Below are 23,667 nucleotides of genomic sequence, written 5' to 3' on the forward strand. Positions count from 1 at the left end.
CACTGTACTTCCTCCACGGTGGGCTCAGCCCTGCCCTCATCCTCACAGCCGCAGCCAAGCTGCAGTTGGTAGGGGATCCACCGACACACCAGGCTGCCTGGGCTGGTCTCTGGGTTGGGAGCTGCCCCAGGTGCTGAGGAGGGCAGCTCCCTGGCTGGTGAGGCCCCTCCCAGAACCACCCTTGGACTGAGCTCTGGGGAGGGATGGTACCAGGTGGGTGAGGGGGGCTGCCTGGGGAGGGAGGGGTTCCTATGGGGCGTGGCGAGGCTGGCCCAGCCCTCTCCCCGCCCATATATGTAGGGCAGCAGCAGGATGGGCTTCTGGACTTGGGCGGCCCCTCCGCAGGCGGACCGGGGGCAAAGGAGGTGGCATGTCGGTCAGGCACAGCAGGGTCCTGTGTCCGCGCTGAGCCGCGCTCTCCCTGCTCCAGCAAGGACCATGAGGGCGCTGGAGGGGCCAGGCCTGTCGCTGCTGTGCCTGGTGTTGGCGCTGCCTGCCCTGCTGCCGGTGCCGGCTGTACGCGGAGTGGCAGAAACACCCACCTACCCCTGGCGGGACGCAGAGACAGGGGAGCGGCTGGTGTGCGCCCAGTGCCCCCCAGGCACCTTTGTGCAGCGGCCGTGCCGCCGAGACAGCCCCACGACGTGTGGCCCGTGTCCACCGCGCCACTACACGCAGTTCTGGAACTACCTAGAGCGCTGCCGCTACTGCAACGTCCTCTGCGGGGAGCGTGAGGAGGAGGCACGGGCTTGCCACGCCACCCACAACCGTGCCTGCCGCTGCCGCACCGGCTTCTTCGCGCACGCTGGTTTCTGCTTGGAGCACGCATCGTGTCCACCTGGTGCCGGCGTGATTGCCCCGGGTGAGAGCTGGGCGAGGGGAGGGGCCCCCAGGAGTGGTGGCCGGAGGTGTGGCAGGGGTCAGGTTGCTGGTCCCAGCCTTGCACCCTGAGCTAGGACACCAGTTCCCCTGACCCTGTTCTTCCCTCCTGGCTGCAGGCACCCCCAGCCAGAACACGCAGTGCCAGCCGTGCCCCCCAGGCACCTTCTCAGCCAGCAGCTCCAGCTCAGAGCAGTGCCAGCCCCACCGCAACTGCACGGCCCTGGGCCTGGCCCTCAATGTGCCAGGCTCTTCCTCCCATGACACCCTGTGCACCAGCTGCACTGGCTTCCCCCTCAGCACCAGGGTACCAGGTGAGCCAGAGGCCTGAGGGGGCAGCACACTGCAGGCCAGGCCCACTTGTGCCCTCACTCCTGCCCCTGCACGTGCATCTAGCCTGAGGCATGCCAGCTGGCTCTGGGAAGGGGCCACAGTGGATTTGAGGGGTCAGGGGTCCCTCCACTAGATCCCCACCAAGTCTGCCCTCTCAGGGGTGGCTGAGAATTTGGATCTGAGCCAGGGCACAGCCTCCCCTGGGGAGCTCTGGGAAAGTGGGCAGCAATCTCCTAACTGCCCGAGGGGAAGGTGGCTGGCTCCTCTGACACGGGGAAACCGAGGCCTGATGGTAACTCTCCTAACTGCCTGAGAGGAAGGTGGCTGCCTCCTCTGACATGGGGAAACCGAGGCCCAATGTTAACCACTGTTGAGAAGTCACAGGGGGAAGTGACCCCCTTAACATCAAGTCAGGTCCGGTCCATCTGCAGGTCCCAACTCGCCCCTTCCGATGGCCCAGGAGCCCCAAGCCCTTGCCTGGGCCCCCTTGCCTCTTGCAGCCAAGGTCCGAGTGGCCGCTCCTGCCCCCTAGGCCTTTGCTCCAGCTCTCTGACCGAAGGCTCCTGCCCCTTCTCCAGTCCCCATCGTTGCACTGCCCTCTCCAGCACGGCTCACTGCACAGGGATTTCTCTCTCCTGCAAACCCCCCGAGTGGGGCCCAGAAAGCAGGGTACCTGGCAGCCCCCGCCAGTGTGTGTGGGTGAAATGATCGGACCGCTGCCTCCCCACCCCACTGCAGGAGCTGAGGAGTGTGAGCGTGCCGTCATCGACTTTGTGGCTTTCCAGGACATCTCCATCAAGAGGCTGCAGCGGCTGCTGCAGGCCCTCGAGGCCCCGGAGGGCTGGGGTCCGACACCAAGGGCGGGCCGCGCGGCCTTGCAGCTGAAGCTGCGTCGGCGGCTCACGGAGCTCCTGGGGGCGCAGGACGGGGCGCTGCTGGTGCGGCTGCTGCAGGCGCTGCGCGTGGCCAGGATGCCCGGGCTGGAGCGGAGCGTCCGTGAGCGCTTCCTCCCTGTGCACTGATCCTGGCCCCCTCTTATTTATTCTACATCCTTGGCACCCCACTTGCACTGAAAGAGGCTTTTTTTTAAATAGAAGAAATGAGGTTTCTTAAAGCTTATTTTTATAAAGCTTTTTCATAAAACTGGTTGTAGTTGCACAGCTACTGGGAGGGCAGCCGGGGACACCTGAGCCGCCCGCTGTGCCCAGATCCCTCAGGCTGCCTGCCATCAGAACTGCTGCCCGGGGCTTCCCCTACCTCAGACAGACCCTCCCTGGGAGGATCAGTGGGGAGTGCCACCTCTGCCCCCAGTGGCTGTGGCACGTGGCAGGGGCCCCTGAAGCTCAGCGAGGGTCAGGGCCTGGGAGGGTATCATTGCTGGAAGAACAGGATGGGGCTCAGGCCAGCCCTAGTCGCCGGGGCCCACACTAACCCCCCACTTATGAATTCCTCCCACTCCCAACTCACAGGGGATTTCCCGAGAGGGGACCTGCCAAAGACCTCCTCCAGGCCTCCCATGCTTTCCGGGAAGTGAAGCTTCTCCCTCTCTGGGGCAGGCTCTGAAGCCTCCCGATGCACCCAGAGCAACCGGGGGGCTGCACCAGCCACTCGCCTCCCCAGCACGGCCAGGTTCCCGGGGCTGGAGGTCCCCCCCAGGTCCTGGGAACCAACCTGCAGAACACACACAGGGTCCCCTGGAGAGGACGCGGGGACTTCCAGGGCCCGACTCCTGTGAGTCACAGCCCCGCAGCTGCTGCGCCACCCCCACCCTGACTCATGCCCCTTCCCAGCAGCTCCTCCCAGGACCCCATGTCCTTCCCACATCCGCAGGAAGGGAGTGCCTGGACTCTCCAGGCCCACCTGGGGAGCCCCTCACCTGCCCACCAGCCCCTGAGCAGCCCAGTAACACCATCACCGTGTCCAACAGCCAGGAGCCTCCACCCTCCAGGAGGGAAGGGATGGACAGAGCCACACTCGCCGTCTTTATTTTGCACTCACCCTGGGTGACACTGGGCAGGCCGCTCCTGCCCACAGCCAGACTGAGGAAGAACACAGCACTCGGCAGGCCCAGTGGGGTCCGTGCAGGGAGGACCCCAGGACCAGCCTTACTCCCGAGCAGGGGACACAGGGCCCCACAGAGAACCCCTCCGGGAGGTTCTCTCCTGGCTGGGGGAGGGCTCTGGACCCCCACAAACACTCCCCAACTTGCGGGGCTGGGGCATAAAAACAGCCACTCCCAGCAGGCCCCCTCAGCTTTTTGCATCAGTCAGCTCCCTCCCGGGGGATTAGGGTGAGGTGAAGCCAGGCCCAGGCGTGGGGTATAGGTCTTCCCCCGCAGGCCTCAGCCCTGTCCCGAGGCTGCATCACAATCCAGGGCCCCCGCTGGCCTTTGGGAACATGGCCTGGGTCTTCCTCAAGGCAAGATCAGCCCCAGACCACTTCCGGGGTCACGGGGTCACGGGGTCACAGGGCAGAAGCCAGATGGCAGCCATGGCTGACGGGCCTCCTCCTCGATGGGGCGGAGACAGCCACGGGGTCTCCCGAGGGTCCCACAGGGCTGTCCTCATGCAGCCCAAGCCAGCCTGAGCACTGGAGCCCCAATTCCCAACCAGGTCTCCCTCAGACCCCCCAGAAAGGGCCTCGAAAGGCCGCCGCTGCGCCCTGTGGAAAGGCTGCCGCTGCAGGGCCTGGGCCAGCCGGGCTGCCAGACTCCCCTCCAAAGCCTCCGGATGCCTACGCTTTTCCAGACATAGAGGAAAGTTTGTCTTCGAGAAAACAAAGTAAATAGAAGAACCCCAAAGCAAAGCAAACCCACCCCCCAGATCAGCAGCATGGGAGCCAACAGGAGGCCACTCCTCCAGCACCAGGGGACCAGCCGTCCCGACGGCAGCGCGGCTGCGCCTACGTGATGTCCCTCTGCCGCGGCGGCCGGTGCACATTCCGCACGACACACTTCACCATCCACTCGATGCCCTCGCGCACCCCTTTGCTGTGAAGACAGCGGGTGTGAGGCGGGGGGTCTCGGTCCCCAAAGCCCCCGCAGGTGCAGCCCCCACTCACCCTGTGAGGGCCGAGCAGGCCTGGGTCAGGCAATCTCGCCTGCCGATCTTGCTGGTGCAGTCGCTGAAGGCCGTCTTGATGTCAGGGATTGAGAGGCACGTCTGGGGGAGGTAAGGCCGTGAGGAGCAGCCCCCACGTCTGGCCCTGTCCTGCCTGTGGGCCCGGGACTCTCAGAAGGGCGTATGCCCTTCACCCCAGGGAAACAGCCAGAGCTCCACCAGGGTCCCAGTGTCTCCCACAGAGACCACAGCAGTGAGGACCCTGTGCTCAGCCCGAGGCTGAACATGGCTGGTAGTGCCTGAGACAAACTAGACGTCCACACGGCTCCAAGGAGTCCACCCCCCATCCCCTCCCTGGGGGACACCCTGAGCCCCGAGGTGGGGCGCTGAGGACTGAGGCCTCCTGGGCAGTGGCGGAGGCAGGTCCCAGGGGCCCACACAGCCGGGGATGATGGAGAGGTGGGAGCCCTGCATCAGTGATGGAGGCAGTCTGCAGTCATGGTGGCTTCTGCTCACAACCACCTGCCCAGTCTTCAAAAAGCAGCCCTCCCCTCCCCTTTTCCTCCGAGGGGAGACCCCTGCCCCGTACCAGATGTCCCTCTTGTCGGCTGAGATTGTAGGGGAGGCCAGCCTTACAGGCTGGGGGCAACAGAGCCACCCCAGAGAAGGCAGGAAGTGAAGATTCACCTGGCCCTCTGGACGCCGGGCTGCTTCTGTGCAAAGCCACTCCAAGAGAACAGCTAGAACTCAGCGTGGCCAGTGCTCCCGGGGGCAGTGGCACCTCAGAGGGGTCTTGAGGGGCTGCCCTGGGGGTGGGGCTGGCACAGATGCCACCTCCAAGGGTAGCAGGAACAGGTAAGGGTCAGAGCTGACTCCCACCAGGGCCCCAGCATCACTTCTTTGAGCTCTGAGTTTCACCTGGGTGTCCCCACAGCTTGGCCACACACTCCTGAGACACGGCCGCCCTCCTGGGGAGAGGTGCCCTGCATAGCAGGAAGAGGCCTCTGGGCGCCTGCCCTGAGGTGGGAGAACCTCCAGGGCTGGCAGCAGCAGGTCTGGAGAGGAACCAGGCTTGGGAAGCTGCTGGGGGCAGGGCAGGCCTTGAGAATGGCTCTGTACCCCCTGGGCAGTCACTGGGCCTGGGGTGTCTGGGTGCACACCTGCTCCCCTTGCTGTGGGGGAGGCTGGGGACTCGGGAAGCTGCTGCGGGAGGCAGGGGTGGGGCTCACCTCCACATCCTGCTTGTTGGCCAGCACCAAGACGGGGACACCGCACAGCGCCTCGCTGGTCACCACCTTCTCTGGGGAGGGCAGGAGAGGCAGCGCCTCACACCCAGCATCCTGCCTCTGACTGCCCAGGGGCCCACAGGCGTGGACACTGTGACAGCCACTCCCTCTGCCCCCCCCCCCCCCGTCACCCACTAGGCAGGAGCACTTCTGACCAGACACTGAGCCTGCCCCAGGCACAGAGCTGCCCAAGCTGGACCTGCCCCCACTCACCATCCATCCCTCCCAGAGCAGCCAGGCCGCACTCACCAAACGCCTGCTTGGACTCAGCCAGCCTCTCCTCGTCGGTGGAGTCAATGACGTAGATGACGCCGTGACACTCCGCATAATACTGGGAGGAAGCACCAGGAGTTGGGGCTCAGTCCCCACCCTGCCAAGGGCCAGCAGAGCCAGGCCTGTGTCATGGCCACAGTGAGGGGCTCACATGAGGAAGGGGCAAGAGGGCAGCCCCCAACTGCAAGACCCTTCTGGGATGCATTCTGGGGTTGCGGGGAGATCTGGTGGAGGTGTCCCCAGACGCTGCTCCTGAGAACCTGCCGGCAACCTTTGGCCTGATGGTGGCCAAAGGTGAAAGACAGGGATTGGGCCAGGCGTGGTGGCTCACACTTATTATCCCAACACTTTGGGAGGCAGAAGCAGGAGGATCACCTGAGCCCACTTCACGGCCAACCTGGGCAACACAGTGAGACTCCGTCTGTACAAAAGCTTATGGTAATGTGCGCCTGCAGTCCTAGCTACTCGGGAGGCTGAGGTGGGAGGATGGCTTGAGCCTGGGAGGTTGAGGCTGTAGTGAGCTCTGATCACACCACTGCACTCCAGCCTGGGTGAGAATGAGAGACCCTGTCTCAAAAAAAAGATAGGGTTTGGGGGCTGGAGGAACCTAGACCACAGCCTGGCCCGTTGAGGGAGTGCACCTGTGGGGCTCTGTGCCAGCACCTCGCACAGGGAGGGAGTGTGGCCATGCGGATAAGACTGACCAGCGCCATCTACGAAGCGAGCCTTCCCTGCCAGGACAGGGCCAGAGTCACTGAGCTCAGACCTCTGCAGCCTGGGCTGGTCAGTCCTGGGCTCGCTGGCAACACTCCTGGGCAAGACAGGGCACAGCCCCTGCAGCCTCAGGTACAAGTGCTGAGCCCTGGACCAGATGAGTGCACCTCTATCTCAATCAGAAAAAAACACAGCAAACTCCGCGTCCACGTGGAGCAGACAACAGCTCACATTTGCCACTTTGCCTCCAGGCTGTGCCAGCTCTCCTGTCCAGGCATGAGTGCCCAGAGACCTAGAACTGGATGCTGACCAGGTAGGACAAGCTGGTGGTCAGTGTGTTAAGACACACACACCCGAGAGCATGAGAAGCCAGGAGGCACAGCCCAACTCTCCGAAATCCTTAGGGTGTCTGAGCAGGGAGTACCAGACAACCCCATCCCAGTGCCAGACAAGCTTGTGCACCTGCACTTCCCACAGAGGAGAGAAGCCTGTGCACCTGCACTTCCCACAGTGGAAAGGAGGAGGCCCAAGGCCAGGCCCCCCCACCCCCAGGAACTTCCCACAGTGGAGAGGAGGCCCAAGGCCAGGCGCCCTCCAGGGTTCTGCAGGTAGCGAGGCCCCCCCACCCCCAGGAACTTCTCTGGCCTACAGACAGGTCCCACACAGAGGCCGCCAACCCCTCAAGGGACCCTGCAGTGTGCCGGCTGTCTGCTGCTGACACAAGGGAGCAGGCGGACCCTAAGGTGGAGACCTCTGTGGCAGGAGGGGCGGCTCTGTGGAGGCTGCAGCAAGCCCAGTGAGAGAATCTCCACGTGGCTCCTGGGGCTTCTGAGCAGGGTGGCAGAAGGTTCATGTGCAACCGGGTCCTGGACCATGGGACCACGTGGCCAGAGCCACCCATCACACCTACCAGGCACAAGGTGCACAGCCCAGCAGGGCCGCAGTGGACGGGAGCGACACCTCAGGGCTGAGTGCGGGCAGGACCCAGAGCCCCACGCCCCAGTGGAGGCGTCACAGCAGTGGTCATTGTGGGGTGCCCCACAAGGAGGGGGAAGAGGGAGGTGTCCAAGCGTGGCTCCTGGCTGGCCAGCTGACCCCAGTGGAGCAGTCAGAGGGACTGTGGGTCTGAGTTTTTCTCCCCAGCAGCAATGGGAGCTCCCCAACTGCAAAGTGCCAGCCAGCCTGAGAGACTAGTGTTACAGCAAAGAACCCAGGAGCTGAGGTCCTGGCACATGCCACACATGTGGACACCAACCCAGGGTCCAGCCCCAGGACGAGGCCAATTCGCAATGACGCCCCTTTCTGTGGTGCTGGCTCTGCACAAGGATGCAGGATACAGGAAACCAGGGTGGGAGCAGGGGCCTCCCTTCCGGTCCCTCCCAGTGACCTAGGGGGGTCCCTGCAGCTGATCCTCCCAGCTCTGAGCTCAGCAGGGTCAGGGGTCCCGGCCACTAGAGCAGCACATACTCAGCAGACACGCTGAATGACGAGCCACAGCTGCCTCATGGGCATGACTTGCACCTCATGTCTAGGAGACCCTGGTGGGCAGGAGATGGGGCTGCCATCCCACAGCTGTCCCACAGCTGGGGACCCAGGGAGCCACTGGCCCCACCACGGTGGTGTCTGGAGAAGGGCTCAGACTGCCAGGAAGTCGCACCCCAGCAGAAGTGGTAGTGAATTGGGAGGGCACTCAAGGAAGGGCTGTGCAGCCCCAAGACCAGCAGCAAGGATGGGCTACAGTGGCCCCCTTAAGTCTCCCTCTTCCAGTTTCGCCTTAAGAGAGGCCCTCAGGACCTTGGAGGAACCCCTCTCCAACGTGGAAGTGTGGGTCCACATAGGGCTGCAGCTGTGGCCAGTGCAGGCATCTCTGGCCCCACTGTATTCTTGCTTCATGTTGGAGAACACTGCACCAGCAGATGGTCTCATTTTGGTTTCTGTGGGACCCACTTTGGCTGCAAAGAGCCACACTGCCAGGTCACACCTGCCCAGGGCAGCCCACACTGGGGACCCACCAGGCCATGGTGTGAAGTCCCGGCCAGCCTGGCCCCACATGGCACAGCATAGCCAGTTCTCCTCCAGGGCTCCCTGCTGGGCCAACCACAGCTCTGTGGATCCTGCTGCCTGAGTCGACCTCTCCTCTCCCGTCCTCCCTGCCTTCCTGGTGCCGACCCCCAGTGTGCATCCTGTACCTCGACCTGTCTCAGCATCTGTGCCTGAGACACCGGCCTGTGACAAGATCATCATCATCTGTGTCACTCCCCAAGCATGCTGCGCACTGGACACACAGGCCCTGACTCAACTTGTCCTGTCTGACTTCAGTGGTCCTACAGGATCTATCAGAGATCACTTGGCCATGGGAGAAATGTCTTCTTGGCTAGAAGTCACAGCAGGAGGGGACACTTTGGGGGCGCCTAGGAAAGGGGAACTAGGATCAAAAAAGAGATCAGGACCTGGGCACTCAGCTCTAGAGATGGCATCAGGGCAGCCAAGGCACTGGGGACACCCCACACCCACTGTGCCAGCCTAGGGCAGGGAGCCCGAGGAAGCCACAGGCTCTGCCCTGCTCAGTGCTGGACTCAGTGCCTGGCCCAGGCTGAGAAGGAGATAAACTGCAGCCTTGGGGGTGTGGGGAAGGGGCACCACACTGGGATCTCAGAAATGCCCAAAACCTGTGTCAAAATAGGAGACTGCCGCTGTGAGACCCTGAGGAGTCTTCTGGTGATCATGGAAGAACAAATGTTAAGCTAGAACTGAAGGAACCTCATCAGGGGAGAGGCAGCCATCCTGCCGTCCCCACATCTGGTCTTTGCCATTTCTGTGTCCTGTGGTGGTCAGCAGCAAGGTCTCTGAGCCGAAAGGAGGCACTCACTTTGGAGGAGTGCAGGGTCCCCAGGTCCCCACACTTTGTCTTGTCCTGACTGAGAAAGAAACAGACTGCCCTGACCTCTCTGACTTGGCCAGCGAGGTTGCCCTTAGGCTCAAACCCAAGCCAGGGTTTGAACATTCCCAGACACTTGTAAGATGTTTAGGTTGTTAACATAATGTTCAGGTTTCAAAACATTGAAAGAAACTAGCCCCAGCCCTGAACCCAGATCCCCCCCGGCTTCAGGCATGACCAGTGAACACGCCCTTCTCTCACTGGTCACCTGAGGATGCCGCACTCTGTCAACAGGTTCCCCTAATACATGCTCTGATCTGATCGCCTTGGCATTTAGTGATTCTTTCCCTGGAATTCTCCACTGGCCCCATCGCAGGGAACTCCCAAGTGGGAAACTCCCCTACCACCACTTTTGGGGCAACTTCAGCTAAGGGTTCAGCTGGGACAAAACAGGGAGCCACTCGGGAACCTGGGACAGGACCAGAGAGAAAACCCGAGGGACAGAGTGGGTAAGGAAAACTGCTGAGGAAGGGCCCAAAGGGCACTCTGGAAAGAAGTGGCACTGGAGGGCTGGGGTGGGGGTGGTCCTGGCCAGGGAGTCTTACCTTGTCCCACAAAGACTGCAGCTCTTCCTGCCCTCCTAAGTCCCAGAACATGAGCCGAGCCTTTCCCACATCCACAGTGCCGACTGGGGAGAGGAGGAAACAGGCAAGGCTCATGACCTTGGTCCTCGACACACCCAGTCCCAGCTCTCCCAGGGGATGGGGCAAACCATGCTGGTGCCACTCAAATGAGACTTGAGAGGGGCCCGACAGGGCTGTGGCCACGGGCCAGCTGGACTGTGAATATCACGGCATCCTCAAGGCCCCAAACCCACAGCCTGCTATTGAGACCCTTACTGTTTAGGCCCACGGTGGTGGTGATTTTGGATAGACTCATCCCCTTGTAGTTCTTGTTAAATCGGGTTTTCGACTGCTCCAGGAAGGTCTGAGGAGAGAGGCAGAGGCGAAACACATCAAGGAGGGGCTATACTGGCTTCCAAATATCCTTACTCAGGTCTGTTCTTTAAAAGACAGAAACAGAAACAGAGCAACACTCTGCTCTTCAGGAGGCTGGTGGTGACTATCCTGCCGTCTCAGGTGAAATTTGGCTTCCGTCTGGGTAGTGAACGTGCAGCTGACAGCACAAAACCGAAGGGGGCGCCGCCAGGCCGTGGGAAAGGTGCGCGCAAGGGCGTGGGCACTCACCGTCTTCCCAGCATTGTCCAGGCCCAGGATCAGGATGCAGTACTCGTCCTTCTGAAACATGTACTTGTACAAGCCCGACAGCAGCGTGTACATCCTGCCCTGGGCACCCCAACATAGGTCAGTGTGCAGCCAGAAAGCACCTCCCCTCCCCCGGGCTTCTCCACGGTGGTCAGTGGCGCCCCACGTCCAGCCGACCGCTCAGGACGAGAGCCTGGGGGCCATTCCCGACTCCTCGTCCCTCTCCCACCCCGTCCCTCTGTAACTTCTCCCAGGTCAGCCGCCACTGTGTCCTGCTCACAGCAATGACTGCGACCTCTCCGCATACACATCGGTTCCGGCCCCTCCCCTGCTCGCGGGACTACCCAGCCGGGTGTTCACAGTGAGCTCAGCCGCGCTCCCGCCCTCCCCCGAGGCTTCGCTCCCACGCTTCACGCGCGCGGAACGGGGAACACACTCGCTGCAGCCCCGCCTGGGCCACGGCACCCTCGAGCGCCAGCCCCGCGCCCCACCCGGGAGCAGCGAGCCACCGGCGCGCTCCCCAGGAGCCCCTGCAGGCGCCGGGTAGGGACGCCCCATCACCCCATTTCTTAAAACGGGGACGGCCCTGGGGGGAGCGGACTACAGGGCGGGTGAGCAGCGGCGCGGCTGCTCCTGGAGTGCACCTGGAGGCGGCGCGCGGCTGGCAGGGAACGACTGCGAAGGAAGAACCTGGGTCGCGGCCCCCGGCTACGTCCGCCCCAAGCCGCCGCCGCCAGGTCTGAGGCTCCCCGACAAGCAGCCAAAGCTGGCTCCTGTCACACCCGCGTCCCACCTCGAGTCCTGGGCCGCCCCTCGGGCCTCGCGCCTCACCGCACAGCCTGCGGCCTACCTGCGTCCGCCGCGCCCTCGGAGCCGCTGCTGCTGACCCCCGCTGACCTCCGCTGACCCCGCGCTAACCCCGCGCGGCGCCTGACGGGACGCGGGCCGGCCTCAGGGAATGAGCTGAACCGCGTCCCAGCGGCCTCCGCGCTCCGCTTCCCGGCTGCCCCCGCGCGCCAAGCACTTCCGGAAGCGGCGGCGCTCGGGAGGAAGTGCCGATCGGCTGCTGGGGCGAAAAGGGGGCGCCGGGCCGCTCTAGCCGGTGAGGCCGGCGGGCTCTCTGTGGCTGCGGCTGGGAAACCGCGCGGAGGAGGTGCCCGGCCGGGGACCAGGTGGCCGCGGTTTGCGGGGACGCGGCCCTGGCCAGACAGAAGAGACGCCGGGCGGGGGGGCGCGGCCGGCCTGGAAGGCGGCGGGCGCGGCGGGTGGGCTCGGCGGAGGGTGAGGCGGCGGGGCGCCCCGCGGGGAAGGGGCTCCGGAGTGACGCGGGACCCGGCTAGCGGCGAGCCCACGGCGGCTCGGAAGGGAAGCGCGGAGCCTGAGCGGGGGTACCCGGGCTGCGACCTCTGCGCTGGGAGCTGTGCCTCTGAGCCGGTGTCTCCCCGAGGGAAAGGGGACGTGCCCGTGCCCGTGCCCGCCCTCAGGCTGTGGGGTCGGTCCCGAGACGCGGGGCTCAGCTGGCTTCTCTTCTTGCAGCCCTGGTCCAGCGCCTCCCTCTCTCAGCATGGACGAGGAGAGCCTGGAGTCGGCCTTGCAGACCTACCGTGCGCAGCTGCAGCAGGTGGAGCTGGCCTTGGGCGCCGGCCTGGATTCGTCTGAGCAGGCTGACCTGCGCCAGCTGCAGGGGGACCTGAAGGAGCTCATCGAGCTCACCGAGGCCAGCCTGGTGTCTGTCAGGAAGAGCAGCTTGTTGGCCGCGCTGGACGAAGAGCGCCCGGGCCGCCAGGAAGATGCTGAGTACCAGGCTTTCCGGGAGGCCATCACTGAGGCGGTGGAGGCACCAGCAGCGGCCCGTGGGTCCGGATCAGAGACCGTTCCTAAAGCAGAGGCGGGGCCAGAATCTGCGGCAGGTGGGCAGGAGGAGGAAGAGGGAGAGGACGAGGAAGAGCTGAGTGGGACAAAGGTGAGCGCGCCCTACTACAGCTCCTGGGGCACTCTGGAGTATCACAACGCCATGGTGGTGGGAACGGAAGAGGCGGAGGATGGCTCGGCGGGTGTCCGTGTGCTTTACCTGTACCCCACTCACAAGTCTCTGAAGCCGTGCCCGTTCTTCCTGGAGGGAAAGTGCCGCTTTAAGGAGAACTGCAGGTAAAGCCCTTTGTTGTCAGATGCCAACCTTAGGGGCGTAAGGGGCACGCACACAGGGTCGGGTCAGGATCGGCCCTCCCTTTGCTTTGCAGTTTTGTCTCAGCTTCCTGGGGCAGGCGTGCTTTGACAGCTGTGTCTGTGTTCAGGCGTCTACGTCTTCCTTCTGGGGTGAATCAAGAAGCATGGAAGGAGGCCAGGCGCGGTGGCTCACGCCTGTAATCCCAGCACTTTAGGAAGCCGAGGCGGGCAGATCACCTGAGGTCAGGAGTTCAAGACCACGCTGGTCAACATGGTGAAACCCCATCTCCTTAAAAACACAAAAATGAACCGGTCGTGGTGGCGCGCACCTGTGGTCCTGGCTACTCAGGAGGCTGAGGCAGGAGAATTGGTTGAACCCAGGAGGCCGAGTTTGCAGTGAGTGGAGATGCAGCCACTGTACTGCAGCCCGAGCAGCAGTGCAAGGCTTATGTGGAAGAGAGTAGGTCTCCAGCCTATCGTCAGTTTTTTTTTGGTGGTTGTTTTAATTTTTTTTGAGACAGGGTCTTACTTTGTCAACCAGGCTGGAGTGCAGTGGCATAGTCCTGGCTCACTGCAGCCTGGACCTCCTGGGCTCAACCGATCCTCCTGCCTCAGCCCCCCTAGGAGCTGGGCTACAGACTCACGCTACTACACCCAGCTAATTTTTATATTACTATAATTTTTTATCTTTTTTTTGAGATGGAGTCTTGTTCTGTTGCCCAGGCTGGAGTGCAGTGGCGTGATCTCGGCTCACTGCAAGCTCCGCCTCCCGGGTTCACGCCATTCTCCTGCCTCAGCCTCCCGAGTAGCTGGGACTACAGGCGCCCGCCACCATGTCTGGCTAATTTTCTGTATTTTTAGTAGAGACGGGGTTTCACCATGTTAGCCAGGATGGTCTCAATCTCCTGACCTCGTGATCCGCCCACCTTGGCCTCCCAAAGTGCTGGGATGACAAGCGTGAGCCACCGCGCCTGGCCTTTTTTTTTTGGAGACAGAGTTTCACTCTCCTCACCCAGGCTGGAGTGTAGTGGCGCAATCTCAGCTTACCGCAACCTCTGTCTCCCGGGTTGAAGTAATTCTCTACCTCAGCGTCCAGAGTAGCTGGCATTACAGGCGCCCGCCACCACACTGGGCTAATTTTTTGTATTTTTAGTAGAGTCGGAGATTCACCATCTTGGCCAGGCTGGTCTTGAACTCCTGACCTCGTGATCCACCCACCTTGGCCTCCCAAAGTGCTGGGATCACAGGCGTGAGCCACTGCGCCTGGCCCTGTTGTTAGTTTTATTCTCTAGAGTTCAACTTTTAAATTTTACTTTCATGGAGATTTTCAAACATACCCCAAATTAGAGAGTTTAGCATAATCACCGCCCACGGTCCATCATCCAATGTCGTCATTTATTAATATTTTCCCAGTCTCATTTTGTCTGTTCTCCCTGCCCTATTTTTTTCTTTCCTGGGCCATTTTAAAGCAAATTCCAGAAGTTACTGGTTTTTTCCAATTATGAATACTTCATAGTTGCATCTCTAATCTAACTGATTAGGAAATTACTTAAAAAGTAACTTTTTGGAAGTCCAAGTCCGATGTGAGGACAAAAAAGAGTAACTTCTGTGTCATAATAGGTAACACATTTAATGGTAATACCTCTTCCATATTCAAATATGAACAATTATTACTGTAATGTCTCTATTTCCCTAAGCGCATAGCTTTATTTTTCCTCCTTTTTACTTTTCTCTTAGAAGAAATATTTACCAAGCCTTCTAGTAGGTAATTTTCTTTTTTAGCCAATAGTTCAGGCTGACCGTGTAACCATCCCTAGTTCTAGTTCTAGTTCTTTGAATGTCTTCCTTTTTTTTTTTTTTTTGAAACAGCGTCTTGCTGCTCTGTCACCCAGGCTGGAGTGCAGTGGCACAATCTCGGCTCACTGCAATCTCCGCCTCCCTGGCCCAAGCCATCCTCCCACCTCAGCCTCCCTAATAGCTGATACTACAAGTGTGCACTGCCACGCCCAGCTAATTTTTGTATTTTTTGTAGAGACGGGATTTCACCATATTACCCAGGTCTCGAATTCCTGATCCCTTTGATGAGAGATCTGACACATCCCTGTGGTGCTCCCTCTGGGCCAGGCACTGCTCCAAGGGTTTCATATACTTTCATTCATCTGTGCAACAGCCCTGTAGGTAGGCCCTGCAGTCACACCATCTGACAGAGGAGGAAACAGGAGTAGAAGAACTGAGTGGTCCAGGGCTTCAAGGCTCAGAGGGCTCCGGTTGCCCCCAGCCCTCGTTCCGTCCCCTGCTCCACCCAGTGCTGCTTGCCATGTCGGCATCAGGCCTGATCTGAAAGCTTCCGGAGCATCTTACAGACGTCCACCTTGCCACCATTCAGGACTGATAAGTTCTCTTGGATTTGCGTTGGACCTTTTTTTTTTTTTTAAGATGGAGTTTCACTGTTGTTGCCCAGGCTAGAGTACAATGGCATGACCTCCACCTCCTGGGTTCAAGGGATTCTCCTGCCTCAGCCTCCCAAGTAGCTGGGATTACAGGCGCCTGTCACCACGTGGTGCCCAGCTAATTTTTATATTTTTAGTAGAGGCAGGGTTTCACCATGTTGGCCAGGCTGGTCTCGAACTCTTGACCTCAGGTGATCCCGCCTTGGTTTCCCAAAGTGCTGGGATTACAGGCATGAGCCACCACACCCGGCCCAGGATTTCTTTATATATTCTGGATATCATCCCTTATGAAGTATATAGTTTGCAGATATTTGCTCCCATTGTTTGGGTTGTCTTTTCACTTGATATAGTGTCCTTTGATGCACAAACATTTTAAATTTTGATGCAGTGCAATTTATTGTTTCTTTATTGCCTATGTTTTTGTCATCAGGTTTAAGAAACCACCTCATCCATAGTTATGAGGATTTTCACCTATGTTTTCTTCTAAGAGTTCTGTAGTTTTAGCTGTTAAATTTAGGTCTTTGATCCATTTTGAGTTAATTTTTGTATATGTTATTAGGTGAGGGTCCACTTTATTCTTTTGCATGTGGATTTCCAGTTTTCCCAGCACCATTTGTTTAAAAGACTGCTTTTTCTCCACTGAATGGTCTTGGCACTTTTGTCCAAAATCAATTGGCAATATATGTAAGGGTTTATTTCTGAGCTCTCTCTCCTGTTCCATTGGTGTATATGTGCCAGTACCACACTGTTCTGATTATTATAGCTTTGTGATAAGTTTTAAACTCAGGAAGTGGTAGTTATTCACCATTTGCTCCTCTTTTTCAAGTTTGTTTTGTTTCTGGATCCTTTGCAATTTCATATGAATTTTAGGATCGGCTTGTCCAATTCTGCATAAAAGACAGTTTGAATTTTGATATGGATTGCATAGAATGTGTAGATCTGTTTGGGGCACATTGTCATCTTTACAATATTAAGCCTTCTGGCTGGGTGTGGTGGCTGACGCCTGTAATCCCAGTACTTTGGGAGGCTGAGGCGGGCATATCACTTGAGGTCAGGAGTTCAAGACCAGCCTGGCCAACGTGGTGAAACCCCGTCTCTACTAAAAATAAAAAACAAATTAGTCGGAGGTGGTGCACACCTGTAATCCCAGCTACACGAGAGGGTGAGGCAGGAGAATCGCTTGAACCTGGGAGGAGGAGGTTGCAGTGAGCTGAGATCATGCCACTGCACTCCAGCCTGGGTAACAGAGGGAGACTCCATCTTAAACAACAACAATAACAGAAGAAAAAAACAGTATTAAGTCTTCCAATTCATGAATGAAGGATCTGTCCATTTATTTACGTCTTTAATTTCTTTCAACAGTATTTTGTACTGTTCAAGTCTTGCACATTCTTGGTTAAATAAGTATTATTTTTGATGCTTCTCTAAGGAATTGTTTTTCTTTTCCTTTTTTTTTTGAGACAGAGTCTTGCTCTGTCACCCAGGCTGGAGTGCAATGGCACAATCTTGGCTCACTGCAACCTCTGCCTCCCGGGTTCAAGCAATTCTTCTGCTCAGCCTCCCAAGTAGCTGGGATCACAGGTGCCTGCCACCACACCCAGCTAATTTTTTTTTTTGAGATGGAGTCTTGCTCTGTTGCCCAGGCTGGAGTGAAGTGGCCCAATCTTGGCTCACTGCAAGCTCCACCTCCCGGGTTCACACCATTCTTCTGCCTCAGCCTCCTGAGTCGCTGGGAATACAGGTGCCTGCCACCACGCCCAGCTAATTTTTTGTATTTTTAGTAGAGATGGGGTTTCACCATGTAGCCAGGATGGTCTCGAACTCTTGACCTCAGGTGATCTGCCTGCCTCGGCCTCCCAAAGTGCTGGGATTACAGATGTGAGCCACTGTGCCCGGCTGGAGTTGTTTTCCTTAGTTACATTTTCAGGCTGTTTGTTGCTAGTATATAGAAATACAAGCTGGGCACCGTGGCTCACGCCTGTAATCCCAGCACTTTGGGAGGCCAAGGCGGGTGGATCACCTGTGGTCAGGAGTTCGAGACCAGCCTGGCCAACATGGTGAAATCCAGCCTCTATTAAAAATACAAAAATTAGTCTGGCATGGTGGCAGGTGCCTGTAATCCCATCTACTCAGGAGGCTGAGGCAAGAGAATTGCTTGAACCTGGGAGGCGGAGGTTGCAGTGAGCTGAGATCGCGCCATTGCACTCCAGCTTGGGGAACAAGAGTGAGACTTCATCTCAAAAAAAAAAAAAAAGAAATACAGTGGATTTTTTTATGTTAATCCTGTATTGATTGCTGAATTGGTTTATTAGTGCTAATAGGATTTTTTATGCACTATTTAGGATTTTCGATATATACAATCATATATATTCAATATATACAATTAATATATATGTGAATAGAGATAATTGTAGTCTTTGTTTCTAGTTTGCATGGCATTTATTTCTTTTTCTTGCTTAACTGCCTTAGCTAGAACTTCAAGTACAATGTTGAATAAAAGTGACTAGAGCGGGCCGGGGGTGGTGGCTCACACCTGTGTTCCCAGCACTTTGGGAGGTGGAAGTGGGCAGATCACTTGAGATCAGCAGTTTGAGACCAGCCTGGCCAACACGGCGAAACCCCATCTCTACTAAAAATACAAAAATTAGCTGGGTGAGGTGATGTGCACCTGTAGTCCCAGCTACTTGAGAGGGTGAGACATGAGAATTGCTTGAACCTGGGGGGCGGAGGTTGCAGTGAGCCAAGATCATGCCACTCCACTCCAGCCTGGACGACAGAGCAAGAACCCTGTCTTTAAAAAAAAAAAAAAAAAAAGTGGCTAGAACAAACATCTTTATCTTGTTCCTGATCTTAGGTGGAAAACTTTTTTGTTCCTGATATTAGGTGGAAAACTTTTAGTCTTTCACTGTTGAATATGATGTTACTTGTAGGTTTTCTGTAGATTCCCTTTATCGAGTTGAGGAAATTCTCTTATATTCATAGTGTGTTGAGTGTTTTTTATCATGAAAGGGTGTTGATTTTTTTTTTAAAGATAGGGTCTTGTTCTGTCACCCAGGCTGGAGGGCAGTGGCATGATCATGGCTCACTGCAACCTCGAATTCCTGGGCTCAGGGGATCCTCCTACTTCATCCTCCTGAGTAGGTGAGACTACAGGCATGAGCCACCATGCCCAGCTAATTTTTTAATTTTTCTGTAGAGGTAGGGTCCTGCTTTGCTGCCCAGGCTGGTCTTAAACTCCAGGGCTCAAGCAATCCTGCCTCAGCCTCCCAAAGTGCTGAGATTACAGGGGTGAGTCACTGCACTGCACCCAGCTGTGTGGGATTTTTCAAATGCTTTTTTCCTTTAGATGATCATGTGTGGTTTTTTTCCTTTCATTTTGTTAATGTGGTATATTGATTTTCGTATGTTGAACCATCCTTGAATTCCTCAGATAAAGCACGCATATTCATGGCGTATTATCTCTTTATTATTATTATTTTTGTAGAGATGAGATTTCACTCTGTTGCCCAAGCTGGTCTCAAACTCCTGGGCTAAAGTGATCCTCCTGCCTCAGCCTCCGAAAGCGCTGGGATTATAGGCATGAGCCACTTGGCCCTATCTTTTTTCTTTTTCTTTTTTTTTTTTTTTGAGACAGAGTCTCACTCTGTCGCCGGGCTGGAGTGAGTGGCGCGATCTCGGCTCACTGCAACCTCCATCTCCCGGGTTCAAGCAATTCTCCTGCCTCAGCCTCCTGAGTAGCTGGGACTACAGGTGCCCGCCACTATGCCCAGCTAATTTTTTGTGTTTTTAGTTGAGACGGTGTTTTGCCATGTTGGACAGGCTGGTCTTGCACTCCTGACCTCGTGATTCACCCACCTTGGCCTCCCGAAGTGCTGGGATTACAGGCGTGAGCCACCGCAGCGAGCCTTATCTTTTTAACAGTTAAAAGTTTAAGGCCTTATCATGTAATAACATTGCTGGATTTGATTTGCTGCTGTTTTGTTGAGAATATTTGCATCTGTATTGATAAGGGATATTGGTCTGTAGTTTTCTTTTCTTGGCATGTCTTTGTATAGCTTTGATGCCAGCATAATATTGGCCTCATAGAATGAGTTAGGAAGTATTCTTTATATTATGGGAAGAGGTAAAAAGGGATTGGTGTTAATTCTTCTTCAAATGTTTGATAGAATTCAACAGTGAAGTGATATATACAATCATATATAGAGAGAGAGAGAGAGAGAGAGAGATGGACTTTTCTTTTGTTGGAAGTTTATTGACTATTGATTCAATTTCCTTATTGAAATTGACTTTTCTTTTTGGAAGCTAAAACGTATAACTGTAGTGAAAGTTTCTGAACTTTTCTTTCATTGGAAGTTTTTTGACTACTGATTCTTTATTTGTTATAGGTCTATTCAGATTTTCTGTTTCTTCTTGAGTCAGTTTGGTCTCGCTCTGTCGCCCAGGCTGGAGTGCAGTGGTGCCATCTTGGCTCACTGCAACTTCTACCTCCCGAGTTCAAGTGATTCTCCCACCTCAGCCTCCCCAGTATCTCGGACTACAGGCGCACGCCAGCATACCTGGCTAATTTTTGTATTTTTAGTAGGAACAGCATTTCACCATGTTGGCCAGGCTGGTCTCGAACTCCTGACCTCAGGTGATCCACCCGCCTCGGCCTCACAAAGTGCTGGGACTACAGACATAAGCCACCGCGTCCAGCCTTGAGTCAGTTTAGATAGTTTGCATGCATGTTTCTAGGAATTTGTCCATTTTGTTTATGTTATCTAATCTGTTACCATACAATTGTTCATAGTATCCTTTTATAGCCCTAGTTATTTCTGTAAGATCAGTAGTAATAGCTCCACTTTCTCTCTTGGTTTTAGCAATTTGAGTCATCTCTTTTCTTCCTCTTTTTTTTTTTTTGAGATGGAGTCTCACTGTGTCACCCAGGCTGGAGTGCAGTGGCATGATCTTGGCTCACTGCAACCCCTGCCTCCCAGGTTCAAGCAATTCTGCCTTAGCCTCCTGAGTAGCTGGGATTACAGGTGTGAGCCACCACACCCAGCTAGTTTTGTTTTGTTTTTTTGTTTTTGAGACGGAGTCTGTTTCTGTCTCCCAGGCTGGAGTGCAGTGGTGCAATCTCACTCATTGCAACCTCCGACTCCCAGATTCCAGCAATTCTCCTGCCTCAGCCTCCTGAGTAGCTGGAACTATAGGCGTGCACCACCACGCCTGGCTGATTTTTATATTTTTAGTAGAGATGGGATTTCACCATGTTGGCCAGGCTGGTCTTGGACTCCCTACCTGAGGTGATCCGCCCACCTTGGCCTCCCAAAGTGCTGGGATTATAGGCATGAGCCACCATGCCCAGCCAGTTTTTGTATTTTTAGTAGAGATGGGGTTTCTCCCTGTCGGCCAGGCTGGTCTTGAAATCCTGACCTCAGGTTATCCACCAGCCTTGGCCTCCCAAAGTGCTAGGATTACAGGCATGAGCCACCACGCATGGCCTGTCTTTTCTTCTTGGTCATTTTCGCTAAAGGTTTGTCAATTTTGTTGATCTTTTTTGTTGCTGATCTCTATTGTTTTCCCATTCTGTTTCATTTATTTCCATTTTAACCTTTGTTTCCTTTTTTCTGCTGGTTTGGGTTTAATTTGCTCTTTTTTTCCCCTAATTTTTCAAGGTATACAGTTAAGTTATTGATTTGAGATCTCTTTTTTCTTTTCTTTTTTTTTTTTTTTTTTTTTTTTTGGTTGCTGTTGAGATGGAGTCTCCCTCTGTCACCCAGACTGGAGTGCAGTGGCATGATCTCAGCTCACTGCAGCCTCCGCCGCCCAGGCGATTCTCCTGCCTCAGCCTCCTGAGTAGACGTTTCCCGGCCAAGGTGTTTCTTTTTGAATGTAAGCATTTACAGCTACAGATTTCCCTCTAAACACTGCTTTCACTGCATTCCATAAGATTGTTTTTTGTTGTTGTTTTGTTGTTTGAGACACAGTCTCACTCTGTTGCCGTTTGGAGAGCAGCGATGCGATCATAGCTCTGTAGCCTTGAGCTCCTGGACTCAATCAGTCCTCCTGCCTCAGCCTCCCAAGTAGCTGGGACTACAGGTGTACACCACTGCACCTAACTAATTTCTTTTATAAGTTTTTGCAGAGGCCAGGCACAGTGGCTCACACCTGTAATCCCAGCACTTTGGGAGGCCAAGGTGGGTGGATCACCTAAGGTCAGGAGTTCGAGACCAGCCTGGCCGACAGGGAGAAACCCCATCTCTACTAAAAATACAAAAATTAGCTGGGCGTGGTGGCAGGTGCCTGTAATCCCAGCTACTCAGGAGGCTGAGGCAGGAGAATCGCTTGAACCTGGGAGGCAGAGGTTGCAGTGAGCCAGGATCACACCATTGCACTCCAGCCTGGGTAACAAAAGCAAAACTCCATCTCAAGAAAAGAAAAAAAAAAGTTTTTGCAGAGACAGGGTATCACTTTGTTGCCCAGGCTGGTCTCAAACTCCTGACTTGAAGGAGTCCTACTGCCTCGGCCTCCCAAAGTGCTGAGATTATGGGCAAGAGCCACCGCACCCTGCCACTTGGCTGTTTTGTTCTGTTGTATTTCCATTTTCATTGATCTCAAGACATCCTAATCTCCCTTTTGTTTTTTTGTTCGACTTACTCGTTATTCAAGAGTGTCTTTATTTCTGCATATTTGTAAATTTTCCAAAAAAGTTTTTCTTTCTTTCTTTTTTTTTTGAGAAAGGGTCTTGCTCTGTCGCCCAGGCTGGAGAATGGTGGTGCACAATCTTGCCTCACTGCAACCTCTGCCTCCCGGGTTCAAGTGATCCTCCCACCTCAGCCTTCCCAGTAGCTGGGATTACAGGCACACACCACCACACCTGGCTAATTTTTGTATTTTAGTCTTAACGTGCTGGTCAGACTGGTCTCGAATTCCTGACCTCAGGTGATCTGCCCGCCTTGGCCTCCCAAAGCACTGGGATTACAGGCGTGAAACACCATGCCCAGCCCCCAATTTTTTTTTTTTAATAGAGAGAAGGTCTCACTCAAGCCCAGGCTGGTCTTGAACTCCTGAGCTCAAGCTGTCATCCCTCCTCGGCCTCCCAAGGTGCTGAGATTACAGGTGTGAGTCACAGTACCTGGCCTTCTTTCAAGACTTTAAAAATGCCATCTTGGCTGGGCACGGTGGCTCACGCCTGTAATCCCAGCACTTTGGGAGGCCGAGGTGGGCAGATCACGAGGTCAGGAGATCAAGACCACCCTGGCTAACATGGTGAAACCCTGTCTCTACTAAAAATACAAAAAATTAACCAGGTGTGGTGGCAGGTGCCTGTAGTCCCAGCTACTCGGGAAGCTGAAGCAGGAGAATGGCGTGAACCCGGGAGGTGGAGCTTGCAGTGAGCTGAGATCACACCACTGTACTCCAGCCTGGGCAACAGTGCGAGACTCCATCTCAAAAAAAAAAAAAAATGTCATCTCACTGCCTTCTGGTCCAATAGTTTCTGATGAGAAATTGGCTGTTAATCTTATTGAGGAACATTTATATATTGACTAGTCACTTGTCTCTTGCTGTTTTAGGAGATTCTCTATCTTTGGGTTTCAGCAGTTTGATTATAATGTATCAGTGTGGATCCCTCAATTTATAAGCTACTTGGAGTTCATTGGACTTCTTGGATGTGTAAATTCATGTCTTTCATTAAATTTGCAAAGTTTCAGCTACTATTCTTTGCATCTTGAAATACTAGTTTTGTTTCTTTCTGTCTGTTTGCCGCTTATGGAACTTTATGCATACATTGATGTGCTTCATGGTGTAGCACAGGTCCCTTGGGCTCTAGGCATTTTTCTTTGTTCTTTTTTTCTTTCTGCTCCTCATTTTGGATAAATTCAGCTGACCTGTCCTCAAGTTCACTGTTTCTTTCTTCTTCCTTCTCAAATCTGCTGTTGAAACTTCTGGTGAAATTTTCACTACAGTTACTGTACTTTTTAGCTCCAAAGTTTCTATTTGGTTTCTTTCTGTAGTAATTATCACTTTACTAGTATTCTCTATTTGGTTAGACATGGTTCTTTTGTTTTCCTTTAGTTCATTATCCATGGTTTCCTTTATTTTTAAATTTCTTTTTATTTAGTTATTAATTTTTTTTTTTTTTGAAGCGGGGTTTCACTCTTGTCACCCAGGCTGGCAGGCAATGTCACAATCTTGGCTCACTACAACCTCCGCCTCCTGGGTTCAAGTGATTCTCCTGCCTCAGCCTCCCAAGTAGCTGGGATTATAGGCATGTGCCACCACACCCACCTAATTTTTGGTATTTTTAGTAGAAACTGGGTTTCACCACATTGGCCAGACTGGTCTTAAACTACTAACCTCAGGTGATCTGTCCGCCTCAGC

General features: G+C 55.2%; 3 protein-coding genes and 1 long non-coding RNA gene across 25 annotated transcripts in view, besides 13 other annotated features; 3 read left to right on the top strand and 1 right to left on the bottom strand.

Annotated features, from left to right (window-relative positions):
• RTEL1-TNFRSF6B (RTEL1-TNFRSF6B readthrough (NMD candidate)) overlaps positions 1-2,369 on the top strand; it is a 40,889-nt gene extending 38,520 nt beyond the window's left edge. The window contains exons 36-38 of the long non-coding RNA NR_037882.1: positions 431-862; positions 999-1,193; positions 1,951-2,369. This is a non-coding gene — a long non-coding RNA (RTEL1-TNFRSF6B readthrough (NMD candidate)). The remainder of the gene's footprint in view (positions 1-430; positions 863-998; positions 1,194-1,950) is intronic.
• On the top strand, positions 323-2,355 carry TNFRSF6B (TNF receptor superfamily member 6b). Its single transcript, NM_003823.4, has 3 exons — positions 323-862; positions 999-1,193; positions 1,951-2,355. Exons 1-3 carry the CDS (start codon positions 439-441, stop codon positions 2,232-2,234), a joined length of 903 nt encoding a protein of 300 aa, NP_003814.1. The 5' UTR covers positions 323-438; the 3' UTR covers positions 2,235-2,355.
• Positions 1,428-1,477: an enhancer, noted in NCBI's record as "active region_18243". NCBI's record gives its function as "activates an Ori minimal core promoter by ATAC-STARR-seq in GM12878 lymphoblastoid cells {active_cell/tissue: GM12878}" and the evidence as "EXISTENCE:reporter gene assay evidence [ECO:0000049][PMID:35858748]".
• On the bottom strand, positions 2,318-11,647 carry ARFRP1 (ARF related protein 1). Of its 18 annotated transcripts, none has more exons than NR_051957.3 (8): positions 11,538-11,647; positions 10,670-10,763; positions 10,322-10,409; positions 10,028-10,110; positions 5,807-5,888; positions 5,501-5,566; positions 4,273-4,373; positions 2,318-4,201 (listed from the first exon to the last, which is right to left on the bottom strand). NR_051957.3 is itself a non-coding variant. In NM_003224.6 (8 exons), the coding sequence occupies exons 2-8, from the start codon at positions 10,760-10,762 to the stop codon at positions 4,114-4,116; spliced, it is 606 nt and encodes a 201-aa protein (NP_003215.1). In that variant the 5' UTR covers position 10,763; positions 11,538-11,647; the 3' UTR covers positions 2,318-4,113. The 18 variants fall into 18 exon arrangements, 13 of the variants coding, with proteins under 13 accessions (NP_003215.1, NP_001254476.1, XP_011526785.1 ...); NR_051954.3 differs by having other exon boundaries at positions 5,501-5,569; NR_051956.3 differs by having other exon boundaries at positions 10,670-10,768.
• Positions 2,573-2,622: an enhancer, noted in NCBI's record as "active region_18244". NCBI's record gives its function as "activates an Ori minimal core promoter by ATAC-STARR-seq in GM12878 lymphoblastoid cells {active_cell/tissue: GM12878}" and the evidence as "EXISTENCE:reporter gene assay evidence [ECO:0000049][PMID:35858748]".
• Positions 2,863-3,042: an enhancer, noted in NCBI's record as "active region_18245". NCBI's record gives its function as "activates an Ori minimal core promoter by ATAC-STARR-seq in GM12878 lymphoblastoid cells {active_cell/tissue: GM12878}" and the evidence as "EXISTENCE:reporter gene assay evidence [ECO:0000049][PMID:35858748]".
• Positions 3,113-3,162: an enhancer, noted in NCBI's record as "active region_18246". NCBI's record gives its function as "activates an Ori minimal core promoter by ATAC-STARR-seq in GM12878 lymphoblastoid cells {active_cell/tissue: GM12878}" and the evidence as "EXISTENCE:reporter gene assay evidence [ECO:0000049][PMID:35858748]".
• Positions 3,211-4,092: an enhancer, noted in NCBI's record as "H3K4me1 hESC enhancer chr20:62330893-62331773 (GRCh37/hg19 assembly coordinates)". NCBI's record gives its function as "activates a minimal SCP1, AML or CMV promoter by ChIP-STARR-seq in naive and primed H9 embryonic stem cells {active_cell/tissue: H9 hESC(naive and primed)}" and the evidence as "EXISTENCE:reporter gene assay evidence [ECO:0000049][PMID:30033119]".
• Positions 3,233-3,312: an enhancer, noted in NCBI's record as "active region_18247". NCBI's record gives its function as "activates an Ori minimal core promoter by ATAC-STARR-seq in GM12878 lymphoblastoid cells {active_cell/tissue: GM12878}" and the evidence as "EXISTENCE:reporter gene assay evidence [ECO:0000049][PMID:35858748]".
• Positions 10,713-10,772: an enhancer, noted in NCBI's record as "active region_18248". NCBI's record gives its function as "activates an Ori minimal core promoter by ATAC-STARR-seq in GM12878 lymphoblastoid cells {active_cell/tissue: GM12878}" and the evidence as "EXISTENCE:reporter gene assay evidence [ECO:0000049][PMID:35858748]".
• Positions 10,923-10,972: a silencer, noted in NCBI's record as "silent region_13177". NCBI's record gives its function as "represses an Ori minimal core promoter by ATAC-STARR-seq in GM12878 lymphoblastoid cells {active_cell/tissue: GM12878}" and the evidence as "EXISTENCE:reporter gene assay evidence [ECO:0000049][PMID:35858748]".
• Positions 11,063-11,302: a silencer, noted in NCBI's record as "silent region_13178". NCBI's record gives its function as "represses an Ori minimal core promoter by ATAC-STARR-seq in GM12878 lymphoblastoid cells {active_cell/tissue: GM12878}" and the evidence as "EXISTENCE:reporter gene assay evidence [ECO:0000049][PMID:35858748]".
• ZGPAT (zinc finger CCCH-type and G-patch domain containing) overlaps positions 11,113-23,667 on the top strand; it is a 28,701-nt gene continuing 16,146 nt past the window's right edge. For 2 of the 5 annotated variants that reach the window (NM_032527.5, NM_001195654.2), the window contains exons 1-2: positions 11,710-11,859; positions 12,224-12,835. In NM_032527.5, coding sequence (NP_115916.3) covers positions 12,252-12,835 — 584 coding nt within the window. In that variant the 5' untranslated portion in view covers positions 11,710-11,859; positions 12,224-12,251. Of the gene's footprint in view, positions 11,231-11,709; positions 11,860-12,223; positions 12,836-23,667 lie in introns of those variants that run through there. The other 3 variants (NM_001083113.2, NM_001195653.2, NM_181485.3) reach the window with 3 other exon arrangements.
• Positions 11,635-12,595: an enhancer, noted in NCBI's record as "H3K27ac-H3K4me1 hESC enhancer chr20:62339316-62340276 (GRCh37/hg19 assembly coordinates)". NCBI's record gives its function as "activates a minimal SCP1, AML or CMV promoter by ChIP-STARR-seq in primed H9 embryonic stem cells {active_cell/tissue: H9 hESC(primed)}" and the evidence as "EXISTENCE:reporter gene assay evidence [ECO:0000049][PMID:30033119]".
• Positions 11,723-11,782: a silencer, noted in NCBI's record as "silent region_13179". NCBI's record gives its function as "represses an Ori minimal core promoter by ATAC-STARR-seq in GM12878 lymphoblastoid cells {active_cell/tissue: GM12878}" and the evidence as "EXISTENCE:reporter gene assay evidence [ECO:0000049][PMID:35858748]".
• Positions 11,823-11,982: a silencer, noted in NCBI's record as "silent region_13180". NCBI's record gives its function as "represses an Ori minimal core promoter by ATAC-STARR-seq in GM12878 lymphoblastoid cells {active_cell/tissue: GM12878}" and the evidence as "EXISTENCE:reporter gene assay evidence [ECO:0000049][PMID:35858748]".
• Positions 20,166-20,667: an enhancer, noted in NCBI's record as "H3K4me1 hESC enhancer chr20:62347847-62348348 (GRCh37/hg19 assembly coordinates)". NCBI's record gives its function as "activates a minimal SCP1, AML or CMV promoter by ChIP-STARR-seq in primed H9 embryonic stem cells {active_cell/tissue: H9 hESC(primed)}" and the evidence as "EXISTENCE:reporter gene assay evidence [ECO:0000049][PMID:30033119]".

Source organism: Homo sapiens, chromosome 20 (assembly GCF_000001405.40).
Source record: "Homo sapiens chromosome 20, GRCh38.p14 Primary Assembly".
Classification (NCBI taxonomy): Eukaryota; Metazoa; Chordata; class Mammalia; order Primates; family Hominidae; genus Homo; species Homo sapiens.